The sequence below is a fragment of the Homo sapiens genome, chromosome 19 (genome assembly GCF_000001405.40).
Source record: "Homo sapiens chromosome 19, GRCh38.p14 Primary Assembly".
Lineage (NCBI taxonomy): Eukaryota > Metazoa > Chordata > Mammalia > Primates > Hominidae > Homo > Homo sapiens.
The window spans coordinates 5,804,533-5,828,663 of NC_000019.10; the positions used below are offsets into that span (position 1 = coordinate 5,804,533).

At 56.3% G+C, this 24,131-nt stretch overlaps 1 protein-coding gene across 2 annotated transcripts, besides 4 other annotated features; it reads left to right on the forward strand.

Annotated features, from left to right (window-relative positions):
- Positions 1 to 534: 534 nt before the first annotated feature.
- Positions 535 to 23,792, forward strand: NRTN (neurturin). 2 transcript variants are annotated; one of them, NM_004558.5, is made up of 3 exons: positions 535 to 919; positions 19,236 to 19,802; positions 23,217 to 23,792. In NM_004558.5, the coding sequence occupies exons 2-3, from the start codon at positions 19,634 to 19,636 to the stop codon at positions 23,639 to 23,641; spliced, it is 594 nt and encodes a 197-aa protein (NP_004549.1). In that variant the 5' UTR covers positions 535 to 919; positions 19,236 to 19,633; the 3' UTR covers positions 23,642 to 23,792. The 2 variants fall into 2 exon arrangements, with proteins under 2 accessions (NP_004549.1, XP_047294846.1); XM_047438890.1 differs by lacking the exon at positions 535 to 919 and having other exon boundaries at positions 18,885 to 19,802.
- Positions 22,166 to 22,460: a silencer, noted in NCBI's record as "tiled region #2060; HepG2 Repressive DNase matched - State 1:Tss, and K562 Repressive non-DNase unmatched - State 8:EnhW". NCBI's record gives its function as "represses a minimal TATA promoter and a strong SV40 promoter by Sharpr-MPRA in HepG2 and K562 cells {active_cell/tissue: HepG2 | K562}" and the evidence as "EXISTENCE:reporter gene assay evidence [ECO:0000049][PMID:27701403]".
- Positions 23,203 to 23,891: an enhancer, noted in NCBI's record as "H3K27ac-H3K4me1 hESC enhancer chr19:5827746-5828434 (GRCh37/hg19 assembly coordinates)". NCBI's record gives its function as "activates a minimal SCP1, AML or CMV promoter by ChIP-STARR-seq in naive H9 embryonic stem cells {active_cell/tissue: H9 hESC(naive)}" and the evidence as "EXISTENCE:reporter gene assay evidence [ECO:0000049][PMID:30033119]".
- Positions 23,259 to 23,328: a silencer, noted in NCBI's record as "silent region_9934". NCBI's record gives its function as "represses an Ori minimal core promoter by ATAC-STARR-seq in GM12878 lymphoblastoid cells {active_cell/tissue: GM12878}" and the evidence as "EXISTENCE:reporter gene assay evidence [ECO:0000049][PMID:35858748]".
- Positions 23,499 to 23,828: a silencer, noted in NCBI's record as "silent region_9935". NCBI's record gives its function as "represses an Ori minimal core promoter by ATAC-STARR-seq in GM12878 lymphoblastoid cells {active_cell/tissue: GM12878}" and the evidence as "EXISTENCE:reporter gene assay evidence [ECO:0000049][PMID:35858748]".

Below are 24,131 nucleotides of genomic sequence, written 5' to 3' on the forward strand. Positions count from 1 at the left end.
GGGGTCGGGGGAGCGTCTTGGAGCTCCGGATTTAGGCAAGAGGAGCCGTCAGGGGTCCCCGGAGTGAGGATGGGAAACAGCTAGTTTGAGGGGGGCGCCGCTCTGGGGGCTTCCCTTGAGGGGCTTCTTTAGTGAAGGGACTTCTTGGCGCCTTGTTCTCTGGAAGGGGACCTGGGACAGGTTTGGGAGGTCTGGCAGAAAGGTCAGATCCTCGATAGAATGTGGGGGGCGCCAAGGGCCACAGGCACTGGCGTCGGGACAGCTGCGGCTCTTAGACACCTTCGGAGGGGGTGTCTTGGGGTCCCGGCTCTCCCGAAGGGGAGCCGTCGGAGTCCCCGGGGCCGGGGGAGAAAGCCGTCTAAAGGGGGCTCTGTGGTTGGTTCCCGCGCCTCTGCCACCTGCGCTCCTCCGGTCCCCTCCGGCGGGGGCGGGGAGGGCGGGGAGGGCCGGGGAAACCCGAGCCACCGCCCCCAGCCCCGCCCCCGGCCCCGCCCCCGGCCCCGCGCCGGCCGAGCCGTCCGCGGCGGGACGGGCGGAGGCGGCGGGAGAGCGCGCCCTGAAGCCGCTCCGAGTGCCCAGGTCCCTCTCGCCGCCGCCCCGGAGCCCCGTGCTGCGCGCCGAGGCCGCCTGCGCCGTCCGTGCGCCCCCGCGCCCCGCGCCCTCTGAGCCGCCGGCCGTCCAGGGCACCCACCCCCAGCCCCAGCCCCCGCCGGCCCGGGATGGCCGCAGCCCGCGGCTAAGCGAGCCCGGGGGGCCCCATGGGCCGGCCCGCGCCGCACCCCGCCCGCGGCCGCCCCCTCCGGCCCGGGCCCCCCCCGGGCACCGCGGGCCCAGGCGGCCCGGATGGCGGTCGCGGCGGCTGGGGCAGGGGCTGGGGCCGCGCGGCCGCCACTGACGGGTAGTCCGGCGCCCACAGCAGGTAAGCAAGGGGCAGGCGGGGCAGGTGGGGGGGCAGCAGGGTACGACGGGGACGACCTGCCCCATGGACGGGGCATGGAGGGTGCTGAGGACTCCGAGTAGACCAGGGGATTCCCTCCTGCAGCAGAACCAGCGGGTGTATGAGGGTGGGGTCAGAGGGACGACAGGTCAGCGCGTGGGGAGGGGCGGGGGCGTGAAGCCAGATCCTAAGCGGCTCTCCAAGCCCGAATCCAGCCGCGGTGTCCCTGTCCGACGGGGCGGGCGCACTCCTGTCTCCTAAAACCTCCAAGTGTGCATCTGAGGAACGCACGGTGCCCTCCCCAGAATCCCCTTAGCCTCTAGGAGGGCGAGACCCAGACAGCCCTTTAGCCATGTGGTCTCCAAGGGGCCGTTGGGGGGCTTCCGGATCCTGCAGAGCCCGGGCGGGGGGCTGCCGTCGCGGTCCAGCTGCGCACAGAAGTAAACATCTGTCAGTGGCGCGTTCCCTGCTCGCCGCCGCCGCCGCCGGGGACACGGTGTCCTCCGGTGAGGGCCGGGCCCTCTCGGCTCCTGGAGCAGCCCGTTCAGCCACCAGAGGGCGTGAAACCCTTTGGTGTTGGGGGTGGGGGTCCCTTAAGGGCAAAGCCTGGATGTGAAGTGGCGGGAGGCTGTGCCTGCCTTTCCTGCTTTTTATAAAAGGTGTCTCCTGCACGGGGATAGCCCCGAATTGTCCCAGGAGGTGGTTTGTGGATTAGGAGTTATTAGGCCCAAGGGGGCTGCAGACAGATTAGTGGGGAGGGGGGTGTGCTGGAGAGAGAAATGGCTCTCCCAGGGTGAATGCCACCACTGTCCCCTCCCCAGAACGCATCCGACCTGCCCACAGGCCTGTGATTACCTGCAGGGCTCGTCATTGGTCCAGATTTGGGGAGTGGGGCCAGGGGCTTAAAGCAGGGGGGTGCAGGAGGCCGGACCCCTGACTTTCCTCCCTCTTGCCTGTCTCCCCTGCCCTTTCCCTGTTCTCTACATCCTTGTCCCTGTTCCATGGCCCTCTTTGTCTGTCTCTGAGTGCCCCGGGCTGAGGAAGCCTGGGTGGGGTGTGACCAGCCTCAGAGGATGTCAGTGAGGGGCAGGATCCCACCCACACTGCCAGCTTCTCCCACCCCCAGCTTCTTGCCTTGGGGCCCTTTGGACACCCCTCCCTCCTCCCTTCATCCTAAGACTCCCGAGGTTCATAGCTCCGGCACCGACTCCACCCCCAGGGAGCTACAGAAAGCTTCTTCCAGGGGTGCAGGGAAGAAAATAAAACATTCCCCTCTTCAGCTGGGTACTGCATCTGAAACTCCACCATCAGCACTGGCCCCTCGGCGTTTCAGGTCCCAGTTTTCAGGGAGCGAACAGAGGAGACAGCTTTCAAGAGCTGGGCAGAAGGGACTCAAAAAGTTTGCAGCCGGGCACAACACAATCAAAAGATTGTTTCGACAAATGTGTGTCGATGGCAACCGCGTGGTTGACTGGTGTCAGGGTTGTTGGGTGCTGTCCTTCAAGGGAGGCAGATTTAGACCCAGGGACACAGGGCTGGGGAAGCTCAGAGTGGGGATGGAGGGCTCTACCTCAGGGTAGGAATGTCAGAGAAGACTTCCTGGAGGAAGGGCCTCAGAGGTGGGGCTGTGAAGGATGAGTAGGAGTTTTCTAAGTGGGAAAGGAAAAGGCATTCCAGGTGGCTGTGCATGCAAAGATCTGGAGGCATGGAATAGTCAAGGCACCTTGGTGAGTGTGGGAGAGACTGTTCTAGAAGGTTGGCAGAGGAAGAACTGGGCTGGGGCACTCAAGGTTGCATCCCTGGAGGTAGGGGCTGAATACGCAGATCAGAGAGGTGCAAGTTGTTAATGTATCTGGAGTCACTGGGCTGGACTATCTTTGCTGGGGGGCTGTGGGCTTCCTCCGCTGATGCATCTCCCTGGTCCTCCAAGTTGAGGCAGAGGCTCTGGGGCCTCAAGGTGGAGGTGGTGGCCGGGGGTTGGGGTCGGGAGATGGACAGGAGGCTCCCAAACCAGCCTTGCACTTGCAGGGCTGATAATGGCCTTGAAGGAAGCCTGAAGAAAGAGTGGATATGAATGGGGCATGCCTGCAGGAAGGGTGTCTCGGAGATGATGATGTTGGAATGGAGGGGTCTCCCTGTCAAATCCAAATGAAATCAGGCTTCAGGTGAGCCCTGGAAGAAATCAGACAGCAGGCCCAGCTTACAGCATGTGGCCCTCACTTCCCAAGTGGGGAAACTAAGGCCCAGAGAGAGGGCACTGTTCGTGCTTAAATAGCGCAGTGTGTCAGGAACCAAGGTACAATTTGAATTTGGGGAGATGGAAAAGATGATGGCCAGGTGCAGTGGCTCATGCCTGTAATCCCAACACTTTGGGAGGCCAAGGCAGGTGGATCCTTTGAGCCCAGGAGTTCCAGACTAGCCTGGGAAACATAGCAAGACCCCCTCTCTACCAAAAATGCAAAAATTAGCCAGGTGTGGTGGCATCCCCCTCTGGTCCCAGCTACTCAGGAGGCTGGAGTGGGAGAACTTCTTGAGCCCAGGAGGTCGAGGCCGCTGTGAGCTGAGATCGCACCACTGCACTCCAGCCTGGGTGACAGAGTGAGACCCCGTCTCAAAAGAAGAAAGACAAGATGATTGAGCTGACCTGTTTCCCGGGAAACTGAAGAGTGGTTCCCAGTCTCACCCAGTGTTAGGGTTTAACCTTCATCTGGGGTCTGTGCCTCAGTTTCTCTTTCCATCAGATGGCCAGCATCTTGTGGTGTCCTGGCCGCTCCCGGAGGACCCATGTCGCTCAAGCCACCCGCTGGGACCTGTGCCAGCTGCTTAGCCATGCCAGGCCTCATTAGGCTGATCCTGTCATCCCACCCCGGGGACCCCCCTCCTGCCAGCTCCAGATGCCTCCGAGGCCAGCCCTGGGGCAGCCTGGCCAGCCCCAAGAGACTGGTGTGGTCAAGGTGGCAACTTTATAGCCCAACCACAGAGGGCCGGGGCCAGAAATGGTGGGTCTAAGAAGCTGGCACACACACGCTCCCTAGCCTCCCTCCCCAGACACAGCTGGGTGGCGGGTACAGGAAGAGAGAGCTCCAGGTGCCGGTGGGGGACTGCGGGGCACTGACCCTGCAGGCCACAGGGCCCTCGTTACTTCCCGCCTCATCTCCCTGCATTGTCCCCTGGCTCCTGGCACTCCAGCCACGCTGGTCATCTCGAACAGGCACGGTCCTGCCTCCGAGCCTTTATACGTGCAGCTCCCTCCGCCTGGAACACTCTTTCCAGATCTTCAATGGTGGCTTTTTTTTTTTTTTTTTTGAGACAGTCTCGCTCTGTCACCCAGGTTGGAGTGCAGTGGTGCGATCTCGGCTCACTGCAAGCTCCGCCTCCCGGGTTCACACCATTCTCCTGCCTCAGCCTCCCGAGTAGCTGGGACTACAGGCGCCCACCACCACGCCCGGCTAATTTTTTGTATTTTTAGTAAGGACGGGGTTTCACTGTGTTAGCCAGGATGGTCTTGATCTCCTGACCTCATGATCCTCCCGCCTCGGCCTCCCAAAGTGCTGGGATTACAGGTGTGAGCCACTGCGCCCGTCCAATGGTGGCATCTTTACTGTCATCCAGGCGTCAGCTCAAATGCTTTCTCCTCTGAGAAGCCCTCCTTGACTCCCCAGTCTAGAAGCAGCCTCCAGTCACTATGGCTTCATCCTGAGTTTTTTTTTTTTTTTTTTCTGAGACGGTGTTGCTCTGTCGCCCAGACTAGAGTGCAGTGGCGCAATCATAGCTCATTGCAGCCTCCACCTCCTGGACTCAAGCGATCCTCTTGCGTCAGCTTCCTGAGTAGCTGGGACTACAGGTACATGCCACCAAGCCCAGCTAATTTTAAAATTTTTTGTAGAGACGGGGGTCTCGCTATGTTGCCCAGGCTGGTCTCAAAACCCTGGGCTCAACTGATCCTCCCGCCTCAGCCTCCCAAAGTGCTGGGATTCCAAGCATGAGCCACTCTGCACCCAGCCCCATCCTGGTTTTTTTTTTGTTGTTGTTTACATGCTCTTGACATCTAATTACCTTATTTCACATTTATTATCTGTCTCCCCGACTGGATGGTGAGTTTGTCGGGGAGGGGCCCAGGGTGGCCTTGGTTACCACCGAGTCCCTGGTCCCCAGCCAGGCCCTGGCACACAGTAGGCGCTCAATAAGTGTTTGTCAGGTTAATTCGTGTGCTGGAGGCGGAACCCAGCCGGGCACTCTGGGCTTTCTGCCACTGGGGCCTTTTACTGGCTGGATCTGCTCTGCTGTGTGTCTTTAAGAAAATCTCGTACCTCCCTGGGTCTCAGCGCCACTGTTCTCTCAAACAGCAGGTCCTACGCCCCTCTCTCACCTCTCCTCTTTTCCTCTTGTTAACACAGGCCAGCGGGTTCCCAGGCAGTAGTTGTGGAGTCCGGGAGAGAACAAGTTTGGAGTTGGATCCAGGTTCCAATCCCAGCTCAGACACTTGTTACTTTTAATTAAAAACATTTTTTTTTGGCCAGGTGTGGTGGCTCATGCCTATAATCCCAGCACTTTGGGAGGCCGAGGCTGGCGGATCACGAGGTCAGGAGATCAAGACCATCCTAGCTAACATGGCGAAACCCCGTCTCTACTAAAAATACAAAAAAAATTAGCTGGGCATGGTGGCAGGCACCTGTAGTCCCAGCTACTCGGGAGGCCGAGGCAGGAGAATGGCGTGAACCCGGAAGGCAGAGCTTGTAGTGAGCCGAGATCGCGCCACTGCACTCCAGCCTGGGGACAGAGCAAGACTCTGTCTCAAAAAAAAAAAAAAAAAAATTTTTTTTTGTAAAGACAGAGTCTTGCTATGTTGGCCAGGCTGGTGTTGAACTCCTGGTCTCAAGCAGTCCTCCCACCTTCGCCTCCCGACATGCTGTGATTATAGGCATGAGCCACCACAACCGGCCTCAGCTGCTTACTTGCTGTGTGCCCTTGAATAAGTCACTTAACTTCTCTTAGCCTCAGTTTCCCTACGTGGAAAACAGGGCTAATAATAATAACATGTTTTTCAGGGACTGTGGGAGAATTAAATGTAGAGGAAAGCACTCATCACAGTGTCTGCCTCTAAATAATGGAATAGCCAACATTGCTGGTGTTGTTATTGTTGTTAGGCCAGAAAGCACGTGGTTAAGAATATGGAGGTTACAGCCGGGCGCAGTGGCTCGTGCCTGTAATCCCAGCACTTTGGGAGGCCGAGGCGGGCGGATCACGAGGTCAGATCAAGACCACCCTGGCCAACATGGTGAAACCCCATCTCTACTAAAAATACAAAAATTAGCTGGACATGGTGGCTCGTGCCTGTAATCCCAGCTACTTGGGAGGCTGAGACAGGAGAATCGCTTGAACCCAGGAGGCAGAGGTTGCACTGAGCTGAGATCGCTCCACTGCACTCCAGCCTGGCAACAGAGCGAGACTCCATCTCAAAAAAAAAAAAGAATATATAGGTTATAGGCTGGGCACGGTTGTCACACCTGTAATCCCAGCTCTTTGGGAGTCTGAGGCAGGAGGATCACTTGAGGTCAGGAGTTCAAGACCAGCCTGGCCAACATGGTGAAACCCCGTCTCTACTAAAAATACAAAAAAATTAGCTGGGTGTAGTGGCGTGCACCTGTAATCCCAGCTACTCAGGAGGCTGAGGCAGGAGAACCGCTTGAACCCCAGAGGTGGGGTTGCAGTGAGCCGAGATCGTGCAACTGCACTCCACAGCGAGACTTTTGTCTTGAAAAAAAGAAAAAAATAGAGGTTTTGCAGCCATTGATTGGATAATAAAAGAAAAAAGAATATGGAGGGAGGAGTGTTGGAAGTGAGTCTTTGAGGAATGAGTAGGAGTTTGCTGACCACCTGTGTTCAAATCCCAGCTCAGCCACTTAGGTTGTTTGAATCTGAGCAAGTTACTTCACTTCTCTGGACCTCAGTTTTCCACCTACCAAATGGGGATAAAATAGTCCATACCTTGATACAAGTTACTACATGTAAAGTGCTTAGAATGGCACTAATAGTGTTGTTCATGAGTGTTAGTTTCAGTTATTATTACTATTATTATTAGAGACGGAGTCTCGCCCTGTCGCCTAGGCTGGAGTGCACTGGCGCGATCTTGGCTCACTGCAACCTCCATGTCCTTGGTTCAAGTGATTCTCCTGCCTGATCCTCCTGAGTAGCTGGGACTGGTGGAGTGCACCACCACACCCGGCTAATTTGTTTTTTGTTTTTTTTTTTTGTATTTTCAGTAGAGATGGAGTTTCACCATGTTAGCCAGGCTGGTCTCGAACTCCTGGCCTAAAGTGATCCACCTGCCTTGGCCTCCCAAAGTGCTGGGATTACAGCTGTGAGCCACCGCACCCGGCCCAGTTATTATTATTATTATTTTATTTATTTATTTTTTTGAGACAGAGTTCGCTCTGTTGCCCAGGCTGGAGTACAGTGGCGCGATCTTGGCCCACTGCAAGCTCCGCCTCTTGGGTTCACGCCATTCTCCTGCCTCAGCCTCCCAAGTAGCTGGGACTACAGGCGCCCAATACCACGCCCAGCCAATTTTTTTTGTATTTTTAGTAGAGACAGGGTTTCACCATGTTATCCAAGATGGTCTCGATCTCCTGACCTCGTGATCCACCCGCCTCGGCCTCCTAAGTGCTGGGATTACAGGTGTGAGCCACCGTGCCGGGCCCAGTTATTATTATTATTATTATTATTTTACCACTATTATTATCATGAAGGAGCCACCATACTCCTCCCCAGAAACCACTATCCCTGACCATCCATCCCTCAGCTTCACTTTGGCAAAGACAGACCCAGAGTCCCTCAAGACAAGCTCATGTGCTGGGACTTGATGCCCAGGGTAGCAGGAAGCCAGCGATAGTTCTAGCAGTTGGGCAGCACTCAGCTTCTGTGCTGGGGGAAGAAGAGGAGAGGCTGGACCTCTTTCTCCGGCAGACCTGGAAGGGGCGGCTGGGGGTGTCTGTGTCTGCACCCCCTGACACATGAAGCCACCCCTAGGTTGGCCTCTGGCCCCCGCAGACGCAGTATCGGAACCAGCTGTGCTTGCCAGATGTTCCTGGTTTGCCCCCAGATGTGTGTCGCCAGTTCGAGGCTGTCCTGGCTGCCTCATCCCTCCCATGGGGTGGGCCCAGGCCCTGGGGCCCTCTGAGGGAGGGGGCACATTTTTGTGGGCTGTGGAATTTGTTTTGTGTTTTGCAGAATCACTGAGTCTTGCCTTGAGAGGCCCAGACCCCTGGCCAAGTCTTGCCCCTCATGGGGCCTCAGTTTCTCCACCAGTGGAACCTCAGGGAACTCCTAGGGGCGATCTAGGAACAGGAGACCAGGAGGCTGCCCTAGGAACAGGCCCAGCTGTGAGCCCTCGAGCTATCAGCACTTGGGGAAAACAGAGGCACAGGCGCGCGAACACATGTATGCCGCGGCGTTCACACACACAGGCACTTCCCCACTGGCATGTTCTGGCTTCACGGCCTGGCATCCTCTACCCATGGGCAGTGGCAAGAGCACAAGAGCCACTTGGTCAAGCTCTTCCAGGTCCTCTCTGGCTTTCCTACAGTGCTGGGTGGCACCCTTCGTGCCCTATTGAAGATGGGAGGCCAGGCATGGTGGCTCACACCTGTAATCACAGCACTTTGGGAGGCAAAGAAGGGAGGATCGCTTGAGGCCAGGAGTTCGAGACCAGCCTGGGTAACATGGCGAGACTTTGTCTCTATTAAAAAAAATTTTTTTTAATTTAAAAAAAAAAACAGATGGAGGCTGGGCACAGTGGTTCATGCCTATAATTCCAGCACTTTGGGAGGCAGAGGCGGGCGGATCACCTGAAGTGAGGAGTTTGAGACCAGCCTGGCCAACATGGTGAAACCCTGTCTCTACTAAAAAATATAAAAGTTTGGCCAGGCGCGGTGGCTCACGCCTGTAATCCCAGCACTTTGGGAGGCCGAAGCGAGCGGATCACTTGAGGTCAGGAGTTTTAGACCAGTCTGGCCAACATGGTGGAACCTCGTTTCTAATAAAAATACAAAAAAATTAACCAGGCATGGTGGCTTATGGCTGTAATCCTACCTACTCGGGAGGCTGAGGCAGGAAAATTGCTTGAACCTGGGAGGCGGAGGTTGCAGTGAGCTGTGATCATGCCACTGCACTCCAGCCTCCAGCTTGGGCAACAGAGCAAGACTCCGTCTGAAAAAAAAAAAAAGCCAGGCATGGTGGCGCACACCTGTAGTCCCAGTTACTCGGGAGGCTGAGACAGGAGAATCGCTTGAACTCGGGAGCCAGAGGTTGCAGTGAGCTGAGATCGCACTGCTGCACTCCAACCTGTGTGACAGAGTGAGACTCTGTCTCAAAAGACAAAATACAAAAATTAGCCAGGCATGGTGACAGGCATCTGTAGTCCCAGCTGCTTGGGAGGCTGAGGCAGGAGAATGGCTTGAACCTGAGAAGCAGAGGTTGCAATCAGCTGAGATAACACCATTGCGCTCCAGCCTGGGCAACAGAGCCAGACTCCGTCTCAAAAAATATATATATATATGGGGAAACTGAGTCACAGGAGGACCAGGAGTGAAACGGAGAGGAAGGAGAAGTGTATGCAGGGCAGCACCCCCACAGGCAAAAGTGTGCAGACTTGGGATCTGCAGCAAGCTCACCCCTCTGTAAACTGAATTCTCAAAGTCAGCCCTGTGCCCTGCAAAAACTCAGCCGAAGATGTCCCTCTAGAAACTCCCATCCAGCAAAGACAGTCATGGGCACAGACACCACGCTTACAGGGCTGGGCAAGAGGAAGGCACCCATGGCTGGGGGTGGCCAAGATGGGTAGCAGGGAAGGGTTTCTGGTGGAGGGGCTGTAGGAGCTAGGGCTTTCAGGGTAGAGTAGGAGTTTGCCAAATTAAGATAGGCCCCAATTCCAGGCCTCCCCAAGATTAGAAGAGATGCCTACATGGAGAGAGGGTCCCCCTCCCTTTCTTCATCTCTCAGGTGCTACTCTTTGAGATCGGGAGTTCTGTAGGACAGAGGCTTTTATCCCTGGGACTGGGTGTGCCCGGCAGGTGTCCCCTGGGGAGTTCGGTGGGAAGGGGAGTGGGGGTGCCAGGGCGTTGCCTGTGCATAAAGATAATGAGCAACATTTCCTGGCATCACCAAGGAAGGTGCCAGAAACACACACCCTTGCGCTGGCTGTCTGTTGCTTTGGTTGATTGGAAGGGCCTGCCTAGCTGTGTGACGTTGGGCTGCTCTTTGCCTCTCTCTGAGTCCATTTCCCTTCTTTCCCCTTCCTTCCCCAGCTGTGGGGATTGTGTGGCCTCCAGCTAAAAGTGGAGGTCTGTCCTAGGTCCTTCTTGCTGCACCTCACACTGCTACGCTCCCAGCCCCTCCAGGAAGGAAGGAGGCTTCCCTCCCTCCAGGCAATGCAGGTTCTCCAGGATTTCTACGTTTTCTCCAGGACTGGGAAGGGATCTCTAGCCAGGCCCTGCACAGGCAATGTAGACGGCACCTGGGATCCCTGCAGGGGTGGACACGGGCAGTGGTCAGGGCGGGGCCGTTCCCTCCTGAGTCCCCCGGCCCCATCTGCTTCCCCTCCTCTCACTCTCCTCCCACCGTGTCTGTGCGCCCTGGAATCTTTGCAGCTGTGGGCGTTGGTGGCGTGTTCACCTGTGCACCCCTGTGTGTGTGTGTGGCCAGGAGGAGGGTCTTGGGGACCTTGGCCAGAGCACAAATGACAATGGATGCTCTTGTGTGTGTCTCTGTGAGACCGGATTACCACGTGTGAGTGGGGAAAACCTGTGTGTGTAAGTGGGATCATGCTTGAGTGTGAGTGTGAAAACACCCTGGTTTTTCACTGTGGGGTTGTTCAAGTGTGTGTGTGTGTGTGCAAACACCAGCACGTGGATATAACGTTTCACCACAAGTGTGAAAGCACTCAAGTGTGTGAGTGTGATTTTTTTTTTTTTTTTTTTTTGGAGACGAAGTCTCGGTCTGTCACCCAGGCTGGAGTACAGTGGCGCGATCTCGGCTCACTGCAACCTCCACCCCTTGGGTTCAAGCAATTCTCCTGCCTTACTCACTCTCCCTAATAGCTGGGATTACAGGCGTGCACTACCACACCCGGCTAATTTTTGTATTTTTAGTAGAGACGGGGTTTCGCCATGTTGGCCAGGCTGGTCTCAAATTCCTGACCTCCAGGGATCCGCCTGCCTCAGCCTTCCAAAGTGCTGGGATTACAGACGTGAGCCACCGCGCCCGGCCTGTTTTTTTTTTTTTTTTTTTCTTTTTGAAACAGAGACTCACTCTATTGCCCAGGCTGGAGTGCAATGGTGCGATCTCGACTCACTGCAACCTCCTTCTCCCGGGTTCAAGCAATTCTTCTGCCTCAGCCTCCTGAGTAGTTGGGATTACAGGTGCCTGTCACCGTGCCTGGCTAATTTTTGTATTTTTAGTAGAGATGGGGTTTTGCCATGTTGGCCAGGCTGGTCTCGAACTCCTGACTTCAAGTGATCCACCCGCCTTGGCCTCTCGAAGTGCTGGGATTACAGGCGTGAGCCACTGTGCCTGGCCGATGGTGTCTTTTAAAAATTTATTATTTTCTATTTTTGTAGAGATGGGGTCTTACTATGTTATCCAGGCTGGTCTCGAACTTCCAGGCTCAGGCGAACTCCCCGCCTCAGCCTCCCAAAGTGCTGGGATTATAGGCGTGAGCCACTGAGCCTGGCCGAGTTTCACCAGTATTTCTGCTAACGTCCTTTCTCTGTCCCAGGGTCCATCCAGGATCCCAGATGACATTTAGCCATCCCCTTTCCTTTGGCCCCTCCAATCTGAGACTCCTCCTCCATCTGTCTTTGTCCTTCATGACCTTGACTCTTTTTGTCTTTTCTCTTCTCATCTTCTTTTCTTTTCTTTTTTCATTTTTGAGACGGAGTCTTGCTCTGTCGTCCAGGCTGGAATGCAGTGGTGCAGTCTCGGCTCGCTGCAACCTCCGCCTCCCAGGTTCAAGCGATTCTCCTGCTTCAGCCTCCTGAGTAGCTGGGATGACAGGCATCTGCCACCATGACTGGCTAATTTTTTTTGTATTTTTAGTAGAGACGGGGTTTCACCATGTTGGTCAGACTGGTCTCAAACTCCTGACCTCAAATGATCTGCCTGCCTTGGCCTCCCAAAGTGCTGGGATTACAGACGTGAGCCACCGTGCCCCGTCTTGTCTTCTTTTCTTTTCTGAGACAGGGTCTCCCTATATTGCCCAGGTTGGTCTCAAACTCCTGGCCTCAAGCAATCCTCCTGCCTTGGCCTCCCAAAGTGCTGGGATCAAAGGCATGAGCCACCTTGCCCAGCCAGTGAGTGTTTTGAATGAAGGTGGAAGCGTCCAAGTGTGTGAGTGTGGTCATGTTTGAGTGTGACTGTGAAAACGCCCTAGCATGTGAGCACGACGTATTCAAATGTGAGTGTGAGAACACACTAGTGGATTCATGCGGTGGTGTTCTGGTGTGTGGATGTGATTGTGTTAGAATATGTGAGCCTGGAAACATCTGAGTATGCATGGGATCATGTTTGGGTGTAAGTATGAAAATACTGGCTGGGTGCAGTGGATCACACCTGGAATCCCAGTGCTTTGGGAGGCTGAGGCGGGAGGATTGCTTGAGGCCAAGAGTTTGAGACCGCCTGAGCAACACAGTGAAACCCAGTTTCTACCAAAAAACAAAAACAAAAACAAAAACAAAAATATAGCGAGGCATGGTGGCACACACCTGTGGTCCCAGCTACTTGGGAGGCTGAGGCAGGAGGATCACTTGAGCCCAGGACTCAGAGGTTGCAGTGAGCCGAGGTTGCGCCACTGCACTCCAGCCTGGGCAACAGAGCAAGATTCTATCAAAGAAAGAGAGAGAGAGGGAAGGAAGGAGGGAGGAAAGGAGTGAGGGAGGGAGGGAAAGAGAGAGGGAGAGAGAGAAAGAGAGAAAGGAAGGAAGGAAGGGAAAGAGAGAAAGAGAGGAAGGAAGGAAGGGAAAGAGAGAGAGAAAGGAAGGAAGGGAGGGAGGGAGAGAGAGAGGAAGAAAAAGAAAGAGAAAGGAAATAGGAAGGAAGGAAGGGAGGGAGGGAGGGAGGGAAAGAGAGGAAGGAAGGGAGGGAGAGAGAGAGAAAGAAAAAGAAGAAGGCAGGCAGGCAGGCAGGCAGGCGTGTGAGTGTCATCATGGTCAAATGTGTGATTGTGTTTCAATGCGTGTGAAAAAGTCCAAGTGTGTGTGAGTGTGAGGACAACCCAGGATGTGTGTGTAACCCTGTTTGAGTGTGGAAATGTGAAAACAGTGAATGTGGGAGTGTTTTGTTTTGTTTCGTTTCCAGACGGAGTCTTGCTCTGTCACCAAGGCTGGAGTGCAGTGGTGTGATCTCAGCTCACTGCAACCTCTGCCTCCCGGGTTCAAGCGATTCTCCTGCCTCAGCCTCCCGAGTAGCTGGGATTACAGGCGCACACTGCCACACCCGGCTAATTTTTTTTCTTTTTTGAGATGGAGTCTCGCTCTGTCGCTCAGGCTGGAGTGCAGTGGGGAGATCTCAGCTCACTGCAACCTCCACCTCCCAGGTTCAAGTGAGTCTCCTGCCTCAGCTTCCCGAGTAGCTGAGATTACAGGCGCCCACCACCACACCCGGCTAATTTTTGTATTTTTAGTAGAGACAGGGTTTCACCATGTTGGCCAGGTTGGTCTCGAACTCCTGACCTCAGGTGATCCAACCGCCTCAGCCTCCCAAAGTGCTGGGATTACAGGTGTGAGCCACTGCACCCAGCCAAATGTGGGAGCGTTTGAGCACGCAAGTGTGCTCGAGTGAGAATGCTTGAGCATGTGAGTGTGATCGTGTGTGGGCAGTGTGTGAGTGTGTGAGTGTGTGTATACGAGTATGAAAGAACCTGAGTGTGAGGATATGAGATGGCTGGGTGTGAATGAGTGTGAGTGGGCACACAAGTGTAAGCCTGACAGTGTGCTGTGTGAGATGGGGCATCTCGCTATGTTGCCCAGGCTGGTCTTGAACTCCTGGGCTCTGGCAGCTGTGGGTGCTGGCAGCGTGTTCACCTGTGTACCCCTGTGTGTGTGGCCAGGATGAGGGGTCTCAGGGCACAGATGATAACCTGAGCTAGATTGCAAATGACAGTGGGCACTCCTGTACCTACAAATGTGTGTCTCTATGCAGTTGGACAGGTACAGATGCCTCCCTAGGTTAGGGCCTCCGGGACACAGGAACACGCATTGTGCACACCCAGCCCCCTCCCCGTGCCCTCCGCCACACCCACATCACCCCCACCTGGTCGCGTCCGTGCCAGAGACAAACCAGTTAGGTGGCCCCCGAGAACAGAGAGGCCCATTGTTCATGGCTGCTAATCAGCCCTGCCTGCTGGGCCCCCTCCGCCAATGGCCCCCCGATTTCCTGCCCTCCACCAGAGCTCTAGGTGGGGAGAGTCTGAAGCTCCAAGGCCTCCAGGGGGTCCTGTGACCAGGCCATGCTGGGGCTAGGCCCTTGGTAGAAACAGACCACCACAGCCCAAGACTTGTTCCAATCCAATGGGGAAACTGAGTCACACCACTCCAAGACTTGAATGTGTGGGCAAGCAGGGTGGAGGGGGTCCAGAGAGGTCCGGGGCCCGGGTAGGTTTCCTGCCTGTCTCCCCCTCCTACCACCAGCATTCAAATGCTGGCTCTATGACCTTGGACAAGTCACTTCCCACCTCTGGACCTGTTTCCCATTCATGCAGTGGGGATAAGGGTATTACTTGCAGCCAGGCGCAGTGGCTCATGCCTGTAATCCCAGCACTTTGGGAAGCCAAGGCAGGAGGCTCGCTTGAGCCCAGGAGTTCAAGACCAGCCTGGGCAACATGATGAGACATCGTCTCTACAAAAAATATAAAAATTGGTCAGGTGTGGTGGCTCACGCCTGTAATCCCAGCACTTGGGGAGGCCAAAGCGGGTGGATCACCTGAGGTCAGGAGTTCAAGACTAACCTGACCAACATGGTGAAACCCCATCTCTACTAAAAATACAAAAAATTAGCCAGGCGTGGTGGCACATGCCTGTAGTCCCAGCTACTTGGGAGGCTGAAGCAGGAGAATTGCTTGAACTTGGGAGGTGGAGGTTGCAGTGAGCCGAGATCATGTCATTGCACTCCAGCCTGGGCAACAAGAGCAAAATTCCATCTCAAAAATAAATAAAAATTTTAAAAAATAAATAAAAATTGGCTGGGTGTGGTGGTGCATGCCTGTGGTCCCAGTTACTTGGGAGGCTGAGGTGGGAGGATCACCTGAGCTGGGTAGGTTGAGGCTGCAGTGGGCGCTGTGATTGCACCACTGTACTCCAGCCTGGGCAACAGAGTGAGATCCTGTCTCAAGAAAGAAAAAAAAAAGTGGGGGTATTACCTGCTTCTTAGGACGCTTGTAAGGTTGGAATGACTATATCTGTGTTAAGTTTGTAAAATGGGGTTGGACATAAAGTAGGTGATCATTAAGAATAAAGGGGATGATGGCCAGGCACGGTGGCTCTCGCCTGTAATCCCAGCACTTTGGGAGGCTGAGGCGGGTGGATCACAAGGTCAGGAGATCGAGACCATCCTGGCTAACATGGTGAAACCCTGTCTCTACTAAAAATACAAAAATTTAGCTGGGCGTGGTGGCAGACGCCTGTAGTCCCAGCTACTCAGGAGGCTGAGGCAGGAGAATGGCGTGAACCTGGGAGGCGGAGGTTGCAGTGAGCCAAGATTGTGCCACTGCACTCCAGCCTGGGCGACAGAGCAAGACTCCGTCTCAAAAAAAAAAAAAAAAAATTGCCGGGCACGGTGGCTCACGCCTGTAATCCCAGCACTTTTGGAGGCTGAGGTGGGTATATCACAAGGTGAGGAGATCAAGACCATCCTGGCTAACACGGTGAAACCCTGTCTCTACTAAAAATACAAAAAATTAGCTGGGTGTGGTGGCGGGCGCCTGTAGTCCCAGCTACTCTGGAGGCTGAGGCAGGAGAATCGCTTGAACCCAGGAGGCGGAGGTTGCAGTGAGCCGAGATCGCGCCACTACACTCAGCCTGGGCGACAGAGTGAGACTCCGTCTCAAAAAAAAAAAAAAATTACTTAGACATGGTGGCACATTCGTTTAATCCCAGCTACTTGGGAGGCTGAGGCAGGAGAATCGCTTGAACCCAGGAGGTGGAGGTTACAGTGAGCCGAGATCGCACCACTGTGCTCCACACTCCAGCCTGGGCAACAGAGTGAAACTCTGTCTCAAGAAAAAAAAAAAAAAAAAAAAAAAAAAAAAGGAATAAAGGGGATGGGTTTGACATCTGACAAAATGCTGCTGCTGCCATCCGCTTCTGCAAAACCTCAAGAATGAAATGTCCTTCCCATGGCCCACACGAGGCCCTGCACGAGCTGCTTCATCCCCTTCCAAACCTCCTCTCCTCTCTCTTCCCCTCCTCACTCTGCTCAGACACACGGGCCTCCTCACTGTTCCTCCAACACGCCACGTGTGGTCTGCCCCAGGGCCTTTGCACAGGCCATGCCTCTGCCTGGAACACCTGCCCCCAGATTCTCCTATGGCTGACTTCTCACACTTGGGTCTTAGTGCATGCATCACCTCCTCAGGGAGGGCCCCCTGCCCACCCCCAGTGAATCTAGCCCCATTCAGGACAGTCATCTTTATTATGCACTGATTGTATACTAAGCCCAGAGACTTCAACTGTGGTTTCTTTTTCATCCTCCCAATAAATCCATCCATCCATCCGTTCACTCAGACATGAAATTCTGGACCCTCCAATTCAGGATCTGGGCCACCCAGTGCCTAGCTTTTTTTTTTTTTTTTTTTTTTTTTTTTGCGACAGAGTTTCATTCTGTCACCCAGGCTGGAGTGCAGTGGTGCAATCTCAGCTCACTGCAACCTCCGCCTCCCGGGTTCAAGCGATTCTCCTGCCTCAGCCTCCCGAGTAGCTGGGATTACAGGTGTGCCACCACGCCCGGCTAATTTTTGTATTTGTAGTAGAGACGGGGTTTCACCATATTGGCCAGACTGGTCTTGAACACCTGACCTCAGGTGATCTGCCCTCCTCAGCCTCCCAAAGTGCTGGGATTACTACAGGCATGAGCCACTGCACCCGTCAGCCTAGCTTCTTTGTGTTCATTCATTCATTCATTCATCATTCAGCAAATGTCTATGAGCGCCTACTCTGAGCCACTGAACCAGCTGGGCTGGCCCTGGGGGAGAATCGACTTCCCCTGCAAATTCACTCTCATCAGATCCCCAGGCTGGTCTAGGATTTGTTTAGATGCCCTCACGTTGGGGAACTCATTCCTTACTAAGAATAACCACCACCAATACCAAACAGTCTCAAGTACCACCAATAGTGCTGAGTTCTCAGGGTGACTACAGCATCTGCTCCCAAGCCCAGCCCAGCCCATATGGTGTGTGCTGTGTCAAAGAACCTGGGTTCAAATCCCATGTCCTTTTCTAACCCTTGGACAAGCCCCTACCCATTTTGTGCCTCGGTTTCCCTAGCTGTAAAATGGAGATAGTAGTGCCTCTCTTGTGGGCTCAGCACCAGGCCTGTTACACAGCTGGTGCTTAATAAATGTGTCCTGTTACTTAAGGTCTGATATGTGTAGCTCCTGTCGTCGCCGTCCATGGGGGTGAGTGGGGTGGGGAAGGGGTGGTTTGAGTTTCTGCACATCAGGACACGAGGCGCGGTCCATGCAAATGAAATGCAAATCCCATGCAAATAAATCTCTGGGTGGTGCAGGGCAGCGTGCAAGGCTGGAGGTACAAGGTGCACGCATTTGGGGGGCGCCTGGGAACCCCATGAGCCGAGCCCAGGCCCGGAGGTGCTGACCCGCATCCAGCCCGGCTTTCAGTGCTCGGTGTAAATGTTTACACCTGGCCGGCCGCCAGGCTCCACGCCGCCCCACACTAGGCAGCCGGGAGGGGGAATGTAAACTCGGGCTGGGGGCCGCGGGACGCTCGGGAGGAGCCCAGACGGCGTCGAGTGTGGTGGGCGTGTACACGTGAGTTATTAAACACCGACTGTATGCAGTGAGGAGGATGCCACCAGGCACTCACAGCACCAAGTAACTGGTGCCCGAATGGGTAAAGCTCAGGGCATTCCTGGGGGCCCACTAGCGCCCCTGCACCAGCCAGAGGTTGAAGTGAATAGGGTAGGCAGCCATGGAAGGCTCCCTGGAGGAGGCACCCTCCAAGCTGAGATTGCAAGGGGAGTGAGAGCTAGGTACAGTGACTCACGCCTGTAATCCCAGCTCTTTGGGAGGCCAAAGTGGAAGGATAGCTTGAGCCCAGGAGTTTGAGACCAGCCTGGGCAACGTTGTGAGATTCCCCTCTCTATTAAACAAAAACAAAAACAAAAAAAATTAAAAATTAGCCAGGCACGGTGGCTCATGCCTGTAGTCAGTCCTAGCTACTTGGGAGGCTGAGGTGGGAGGATCGCTTGAGCCTAGGAGGTGGAGGCTGCAGTGAGCTGTGATCACACCACTGCACTCCAGCCTGGGTGACAGAGCAAGACCCTGTCTCAAAAAAAAAGAAAGAGAGAGAGAGAAAGAAAGAAAGGAAAGAAAGGAAGAGAAAAAGAAAGAGAGAAGAAAGAAAGAAAAAGGAAAGAAAGAAAGAGAAAGAGAGAGAGGAGGCTGGGTGCGGTGGCTCATGCCTGTAATCCCAGCACTTTGGGAGGCCAAGGTGGGCGGATCACTTGAGTTCAGGAGCTTGAGACCAGCATAGCTAACAGGGAGAAACCCTGTCTCTATTAAAAATACAAAAATTAGCCAGTCATGCTGGCAGGTGCCTGTAATCCCAGCTACTCGGGGGGCTGAGGCAGGAGAATCGCTTGAACCCGGGAGGCAGAGGTTGCAGTGAGCTGAGATTGCGCCACTGCACTCCAGCCTGAGGGACAAGAGTGAGACTCCATCTCCAAAAGAAAAAAAGAAAAAGAGAAAGAAAGGGGAGTGGGAGTGGGGAGGGAGGGAAGAAGTGTTCTCCATGCAAGGACCTATCTGTGCAAAAGCCCAGAGCTGGGACTCCATGTCCAGGGCAGCTCTGGTCCATTGCTGCCCACTTCTGGGCCTGCTTATCCATCTGGATGGGAAACAGGCTCAGAGAGGGGCAGAGTCAATGGAGGACACCAGCATGTAGGGAACAGTGTCAGCCCCAGATTCCTGCCTCCAGACTGTCCTAAACACCACCCTCCCCGCGCCTTTGTCCCACACTGCCACCTGCCGGGAATGACCTCTCCTCCTTTCACTCTTCCCCCTGGCTCCTCAGCTGCAGCCGCTCCGGCCTCCTTGCTGTTCCTGGGATACGCCACACTCAGTCTGGCCTCGGGGCCTTTGCACTGGCTGTGTCCCCTGCCTGTGATGCCATTCTCCTCTGCCTGGCCAACTCCTACGTTTATTCAAGTCTGGACCTTGTCATCGGCTCCTCAGGAAGGCACTCCGGGACCCCCAGATGGGGGCGGTTCCCTGTGACTCCTGGCACGGAGGCCAACCCCTTCCTTGTTCAATGGTTCCTTGAGGGACCATTCCCATGTGATTATCGACCATTCGGCAGGCGTTCAAAGTCAAAGGCCCCACACTGAGTCCTGGCCCAGCGCCCTGTGCCCGTTGGCTGCTGGAGGGACAGACGGGGCGTGCGGCTGACCATCCCGTGCCCGCAGGCTGAGGATGCAGCGCTGGAAGGCGGCGGCCTTGGCCTCAGTGCTCTGCAGCTCCGTGCTGTCCATCTGGATGTGTCGAGAGGGCCTGCTTCTCAGCCACCGCCTCGGACCTGCGCTGGTCCCCCTGCACCGCCTGCCTCGAACCCTGGACGCCCGGATTGCCCGCCTGGCCCAGTGTAAGCTCCTCCTCTGTGTGGGGTCAGATACCCCCAACGTAAGGGGTAGAATTTCAGGCAGTGGAGTGGGAGGTGGTGGGGGGGTGTCATAGGTTTTTTAAAGATAGGGCCAGCCAGCCCCCTTGCAGGGAGGCAGGGACAGACATCCTAAAAGATTATTCAGGGCAAGGCATGGTGGCGCCTGCCTATAATCCCAGCACTTTGGGAGGCTGAGACAGGAGGATCTCTTGAGCCCAGGAGTTCATGACCAGCCAGGGCAATGTAGCGAGACCGCCATCTCTACAAAAAACTTCAGAAATTAGCCAGGTGTAGTGGCGCACGCCTGTAGTTCCAGCTACTTGGGAGGCTGAGGTGGGAGGATCACTTGAGCCCAAGAGTTCAAGGCTGCATTGAGCTATGATTGCACCACTATACTCCAGCCTGAGCAACAGAGCAAGATTCTGTCTCAAAACATTATAATAATAAATACATTTTCTAAAAAAAGATGGGGTGGAGGGAGGTTGCAAATTCCCCCAATGGCCTGGTGGAGCTAGGGTGACTTCTGGGAACTGGGGTCTTTCGGCTCAGCTGTCACAAGGAATTAGGCTCTGCCCTGAGGTCCCGTGGGGGCCAGATGGAGATTAGACCTGGGCATTCGCCTGGTTGGCCCCCGCGGCGCAGCAGGGGGGGCGGTGGGAGGAGAGAGAGGCTGGATCTGAGGTCCCAGTGACCTGCCCCAGGGGACAGGGACCAAGGGGAGGCGGGAGATGGAGCAGGAGCTAAAAACCGGAAGAAAGGCCCAGAGATTCGAAGGGGTGAGGAGGGGTGGAGAGAGGAGAGACGGGGCTGGGGGCACAGACACGGGCAAAAGTGCTGCTATAGGGACACAGAAATGCCCACCCTGAGGGCAAGACCCTCGCCCAACTCCCCACCAATCCCTAATGCCTGCCCCACCGCAGGTGCTGTGGGGTGAGGGTGGTGCGTGGGCCCTGACCCCTGTGCCCACGCACATGTCCATGCGTGCGCCTGCGCGGGCATCTGAGGCGTGGATGCCGGCAGGGTGCGTGTGCAGCGCCTTTGGGTGTGGGCCACGAGTACGCCCATGTGCGCGTCTGCGCCCGCCCCTGCCAGCCCACACAATCCTCTTTTCTTGTCCTTACAATGCACAAGGGTGGCCTCCAGCACGAGCTCCACTTCTGTCCTCCCACCACTTCCCTCTCTGCAAGCGGCGTGAAGTCCTTCCTAGGACTCTGGGACAGAGACCCGGGCGGGACCCCCAAAATCCAGTGCTCCAGGACTTGGGGTGCGGGGGGCAAAGCACGAATGGAGGAATTTCAGGCACTGCGGAGGGTCAGGGCCCATGGGCGGGTGCCTGTCTGCCCTACTGCAAAAAGCGAGTGGCCACTGACTCCCCAAGTCCCCATGTTCTAGGCTCCTGGTGGAATTTCAGGCTGGGGACCTTGTGTTCTAGCCCCTGTGCAAGCAGCCAGCCCCGCTGCAGGGAGGCAGGGACAGACATCCTAAAAGATGATTCATTGTTGCCAGGTGCGGTGGCTCACGCCTGTGATCCCAGCACTTTGGGAGGCCGAGGTGGGCGGATCACGAGGTCAGGAGATGGAGACCATTCTGGCTAACACTGTGAAACCCTGTCTCTACTAAAATTACAAAAAAATTAGCCGGGCGTGGTGGCGGGCGCCTGTAGTCCCAGCTACTCGGGAGGCTGAGGCGGGAGAATGGCGTGAACCCGGGAGGCGGAGCTTGCAGTGAGCCGAGATCGCGCCACTGCACTCCAGCCTGGGCGACAGAGCGAGACTCCGTCTCAAAAAAAAAAAAAAGATTATTCATTGTTTATATGGAATTCAGATTTAGCCGGGCACCTGTATTGTATCGGGCAAGCCCACAAATGTCTGCTTCGATGCACCCCTCTGGGGTTGGGTGTGCCCCCTAACCCCCCAGCACAGTCCTGGCCACTCCAGTCCTGCTCCGGGGCTTAAAGAACACGGACTAGGTTGCTCAGTCATCGCCCACCCCCCGCACCGATTTCCCACCCTCTCAGCCCCGGCCAAGACAGAGATCATGGAAGCTTCATGGGACAGACAGGGAAACTGAGGCCTGAGGTTGCAAGTGGCGAAAGTGGCAGAGTCATGCTCTGAGGCTGGGTTTGTCTCGTTTCTGAGACCCCCTGTGGGAACAGACATCTCCTCCCCCACCAAACCCCAGGAGACAGACAGCCCCTCCTTCCCCAGGGCCACCCAGAGGCTCATTCTTTTGACAGCCAGGTGCACCAGCCCGGGGGGCAGGTGGGGACTAAAGATTTCCTCTCCCAACCACAAGCGTGACTGCCACCTGCTCTGGGGCTGGGAGTCCCCTGCCTGCAGGTCCGCCAGCAGCGCTGCCTGTCATTCCAGCGTCTGCAGTTCTCTCCCGGGGCTTCCGAGTTTGGGGGTGGAGCCACCGCTTGGGTAATAAATTTAGGCTGCCAGGCCCTGGGAATCGGTGACTTGGGCACCTCCTGGCGAGTGTGGGAGAAAGCGGCTGGACCTGGGCCAAACTTGGGTGAACGATGAAGGCAGGAAGAATGACCTTTAAGCCCGCCTCTGTCGCTCTCTCTCGGCCACCTGCTAATGATGTGACCTTGGGATGGTCCGTTTTGTCACCTGTCACATGGGGGTGGCCTTGACAGTAGCTGCTGCCACTCCATGGAGTGGGGTCCCCACACAGGCTTCGGATGCAGTAGGCTGCGGTACCTGCTGCTCCTCTGCATTCTGAGAAACCCAAACACCCCGATTCATTTCTTGGATAGGGAAACTGAGGCTCCACTGCACAGCGGGGCAGTGGGGATGGAGGGAGTCTGAAAAGCCCGGGGCCTCAGAGCAGACGTCGGGGCCTGAAGAGGGGGCTCTAGAGACCTATGACAACCTCACTAAAGAGGGATAGGGCATGGGAAGCAGCCCCCCAGTGCTGCCCAGAGAGGATGCACCAGTGTCCTGGGGCAGCCCAGCATAGGGGCGGGGTCCAGATAGATTTGCGATGGAGGACGAGGAGAATGGAGCAGCAATGGGGTGAGAGAGGGGCCCAGAGGAGGTGAGTTAGAGACCCCGGTCAGCTCAGCTCAAGGTGAGACGGGCTGGAAAGCGGCCCAGAAAGGATGGACCAGGTTCTGGGCAGCCAATATAGGCTCAGGGTTCAGAAAGGGGTTTTGGACCAGCGTAGGGGTGTGAGTGTGTACGTGCCCCCCAGTGCCGCCCAGAGAGGGTGCATGAGCAGCTCAGCAAGAGGGTGGGGAAATTTGGGACCTGGGAGTGAGACGAGAAGCCGTCTAGGCCTGGCGTCCCAGCAAGGGTCTTCGTTTGCAGGGGTACAGAGAGGGTAGGGGGCTCCCTCCCACCCCCTGCACCCACTGACCCCCCCTCCTTTCTCTTCCTCCCCTCGCAGACCGTGCACTCCTGCAGGGGGCCCCGGATGCGATGGAGCTGCGCGAGCTGACGCCCTGGGCTGGGCGGCCCCCAGGTCCGCGCCGTCGGGCGGGGCCCCGGCGGCGGCGCGCGCGTGCGCGGTTGGGGGCGCGGCCTTGCGGGCTGCGCGAGCTGGAGGTGCGCGTGAGCGAGCTGGGCCTGGGCTACGCGTCCGACGAGACGGTGCTGTTCCGCTACTGCGCAGGCGCCTGCGAGGCTGCCGCGCGCGTCTACGACCTCGGGCTGCGACGACTGCGCCAGCGGCGGCGCCTGCGGCGGGAGCGGGTGCGCGCGCAGCCCTGCTGCCGCCCGACGGCCTACGAGGACGAGGTGTCCTTCCTGGACGCGCACAGCCGCTACCACACGGTGCACGAGCTGTCGGCGCGCGAGTGCGCCTGCGTGTGACCCTACCTCACTCGGCCGGCGCGGCGGCCACTCCCCCCGCCTCGACGGCACCACTGGCCGGCCCCGCGAAAGACTGCGCGTGCGTAGAGCACGCCGGCGCGGCCCCGGGACTCTCGCGATAACTGTACTGAGATAAAGTGTGGCAACTCGAGCTGGCTGGTGATTCATCCTCGGCGAGGGGCTCGCGTGTGGGCCACGTCGCCGTCTCCACCGGGAAAGCGGGGACCAGTGGGGGGGGCCCAGCTGCAGGGTAGTGGGAGGATGCTGTTTGCTTTGGGGGAAGGGTAGATGCAAAGTGGGTCCAGTTTATGGCGGACAAAAAGGAAAATGGGGTGAATGGGGCTATGTTGGCAGGGACCGTCCTTCCTGCCTCCCTACGGGTCCCTCTGCCCGTCCCGAGCGTGTTCCGGTCCGCACCTCTTCGCTGTGTGGGCTTCTGGGGAGGGGAAAGGGAAGCTACGCTCGGATGAAGAGACCGAGGTCTAGGTGG

Excerpts from the sequence above, each read along its gene's own strand:
- NRTN (NM_004558.5), top strand. The coding sequence starts at position 19,634 with ATGCAGCGCTGGAAGGCGGCGGCCTTGGCCTCAGTGCTCTGCAGCTCC. Across the intron at positions 19,803-23,216 it reads GATTGCCCGCCTGGCCCAGT|ACCGTGCACTCCTGCAGGGG; the intron begins GTAAGCTCCTCC and ends CTCCCCTCGCAG.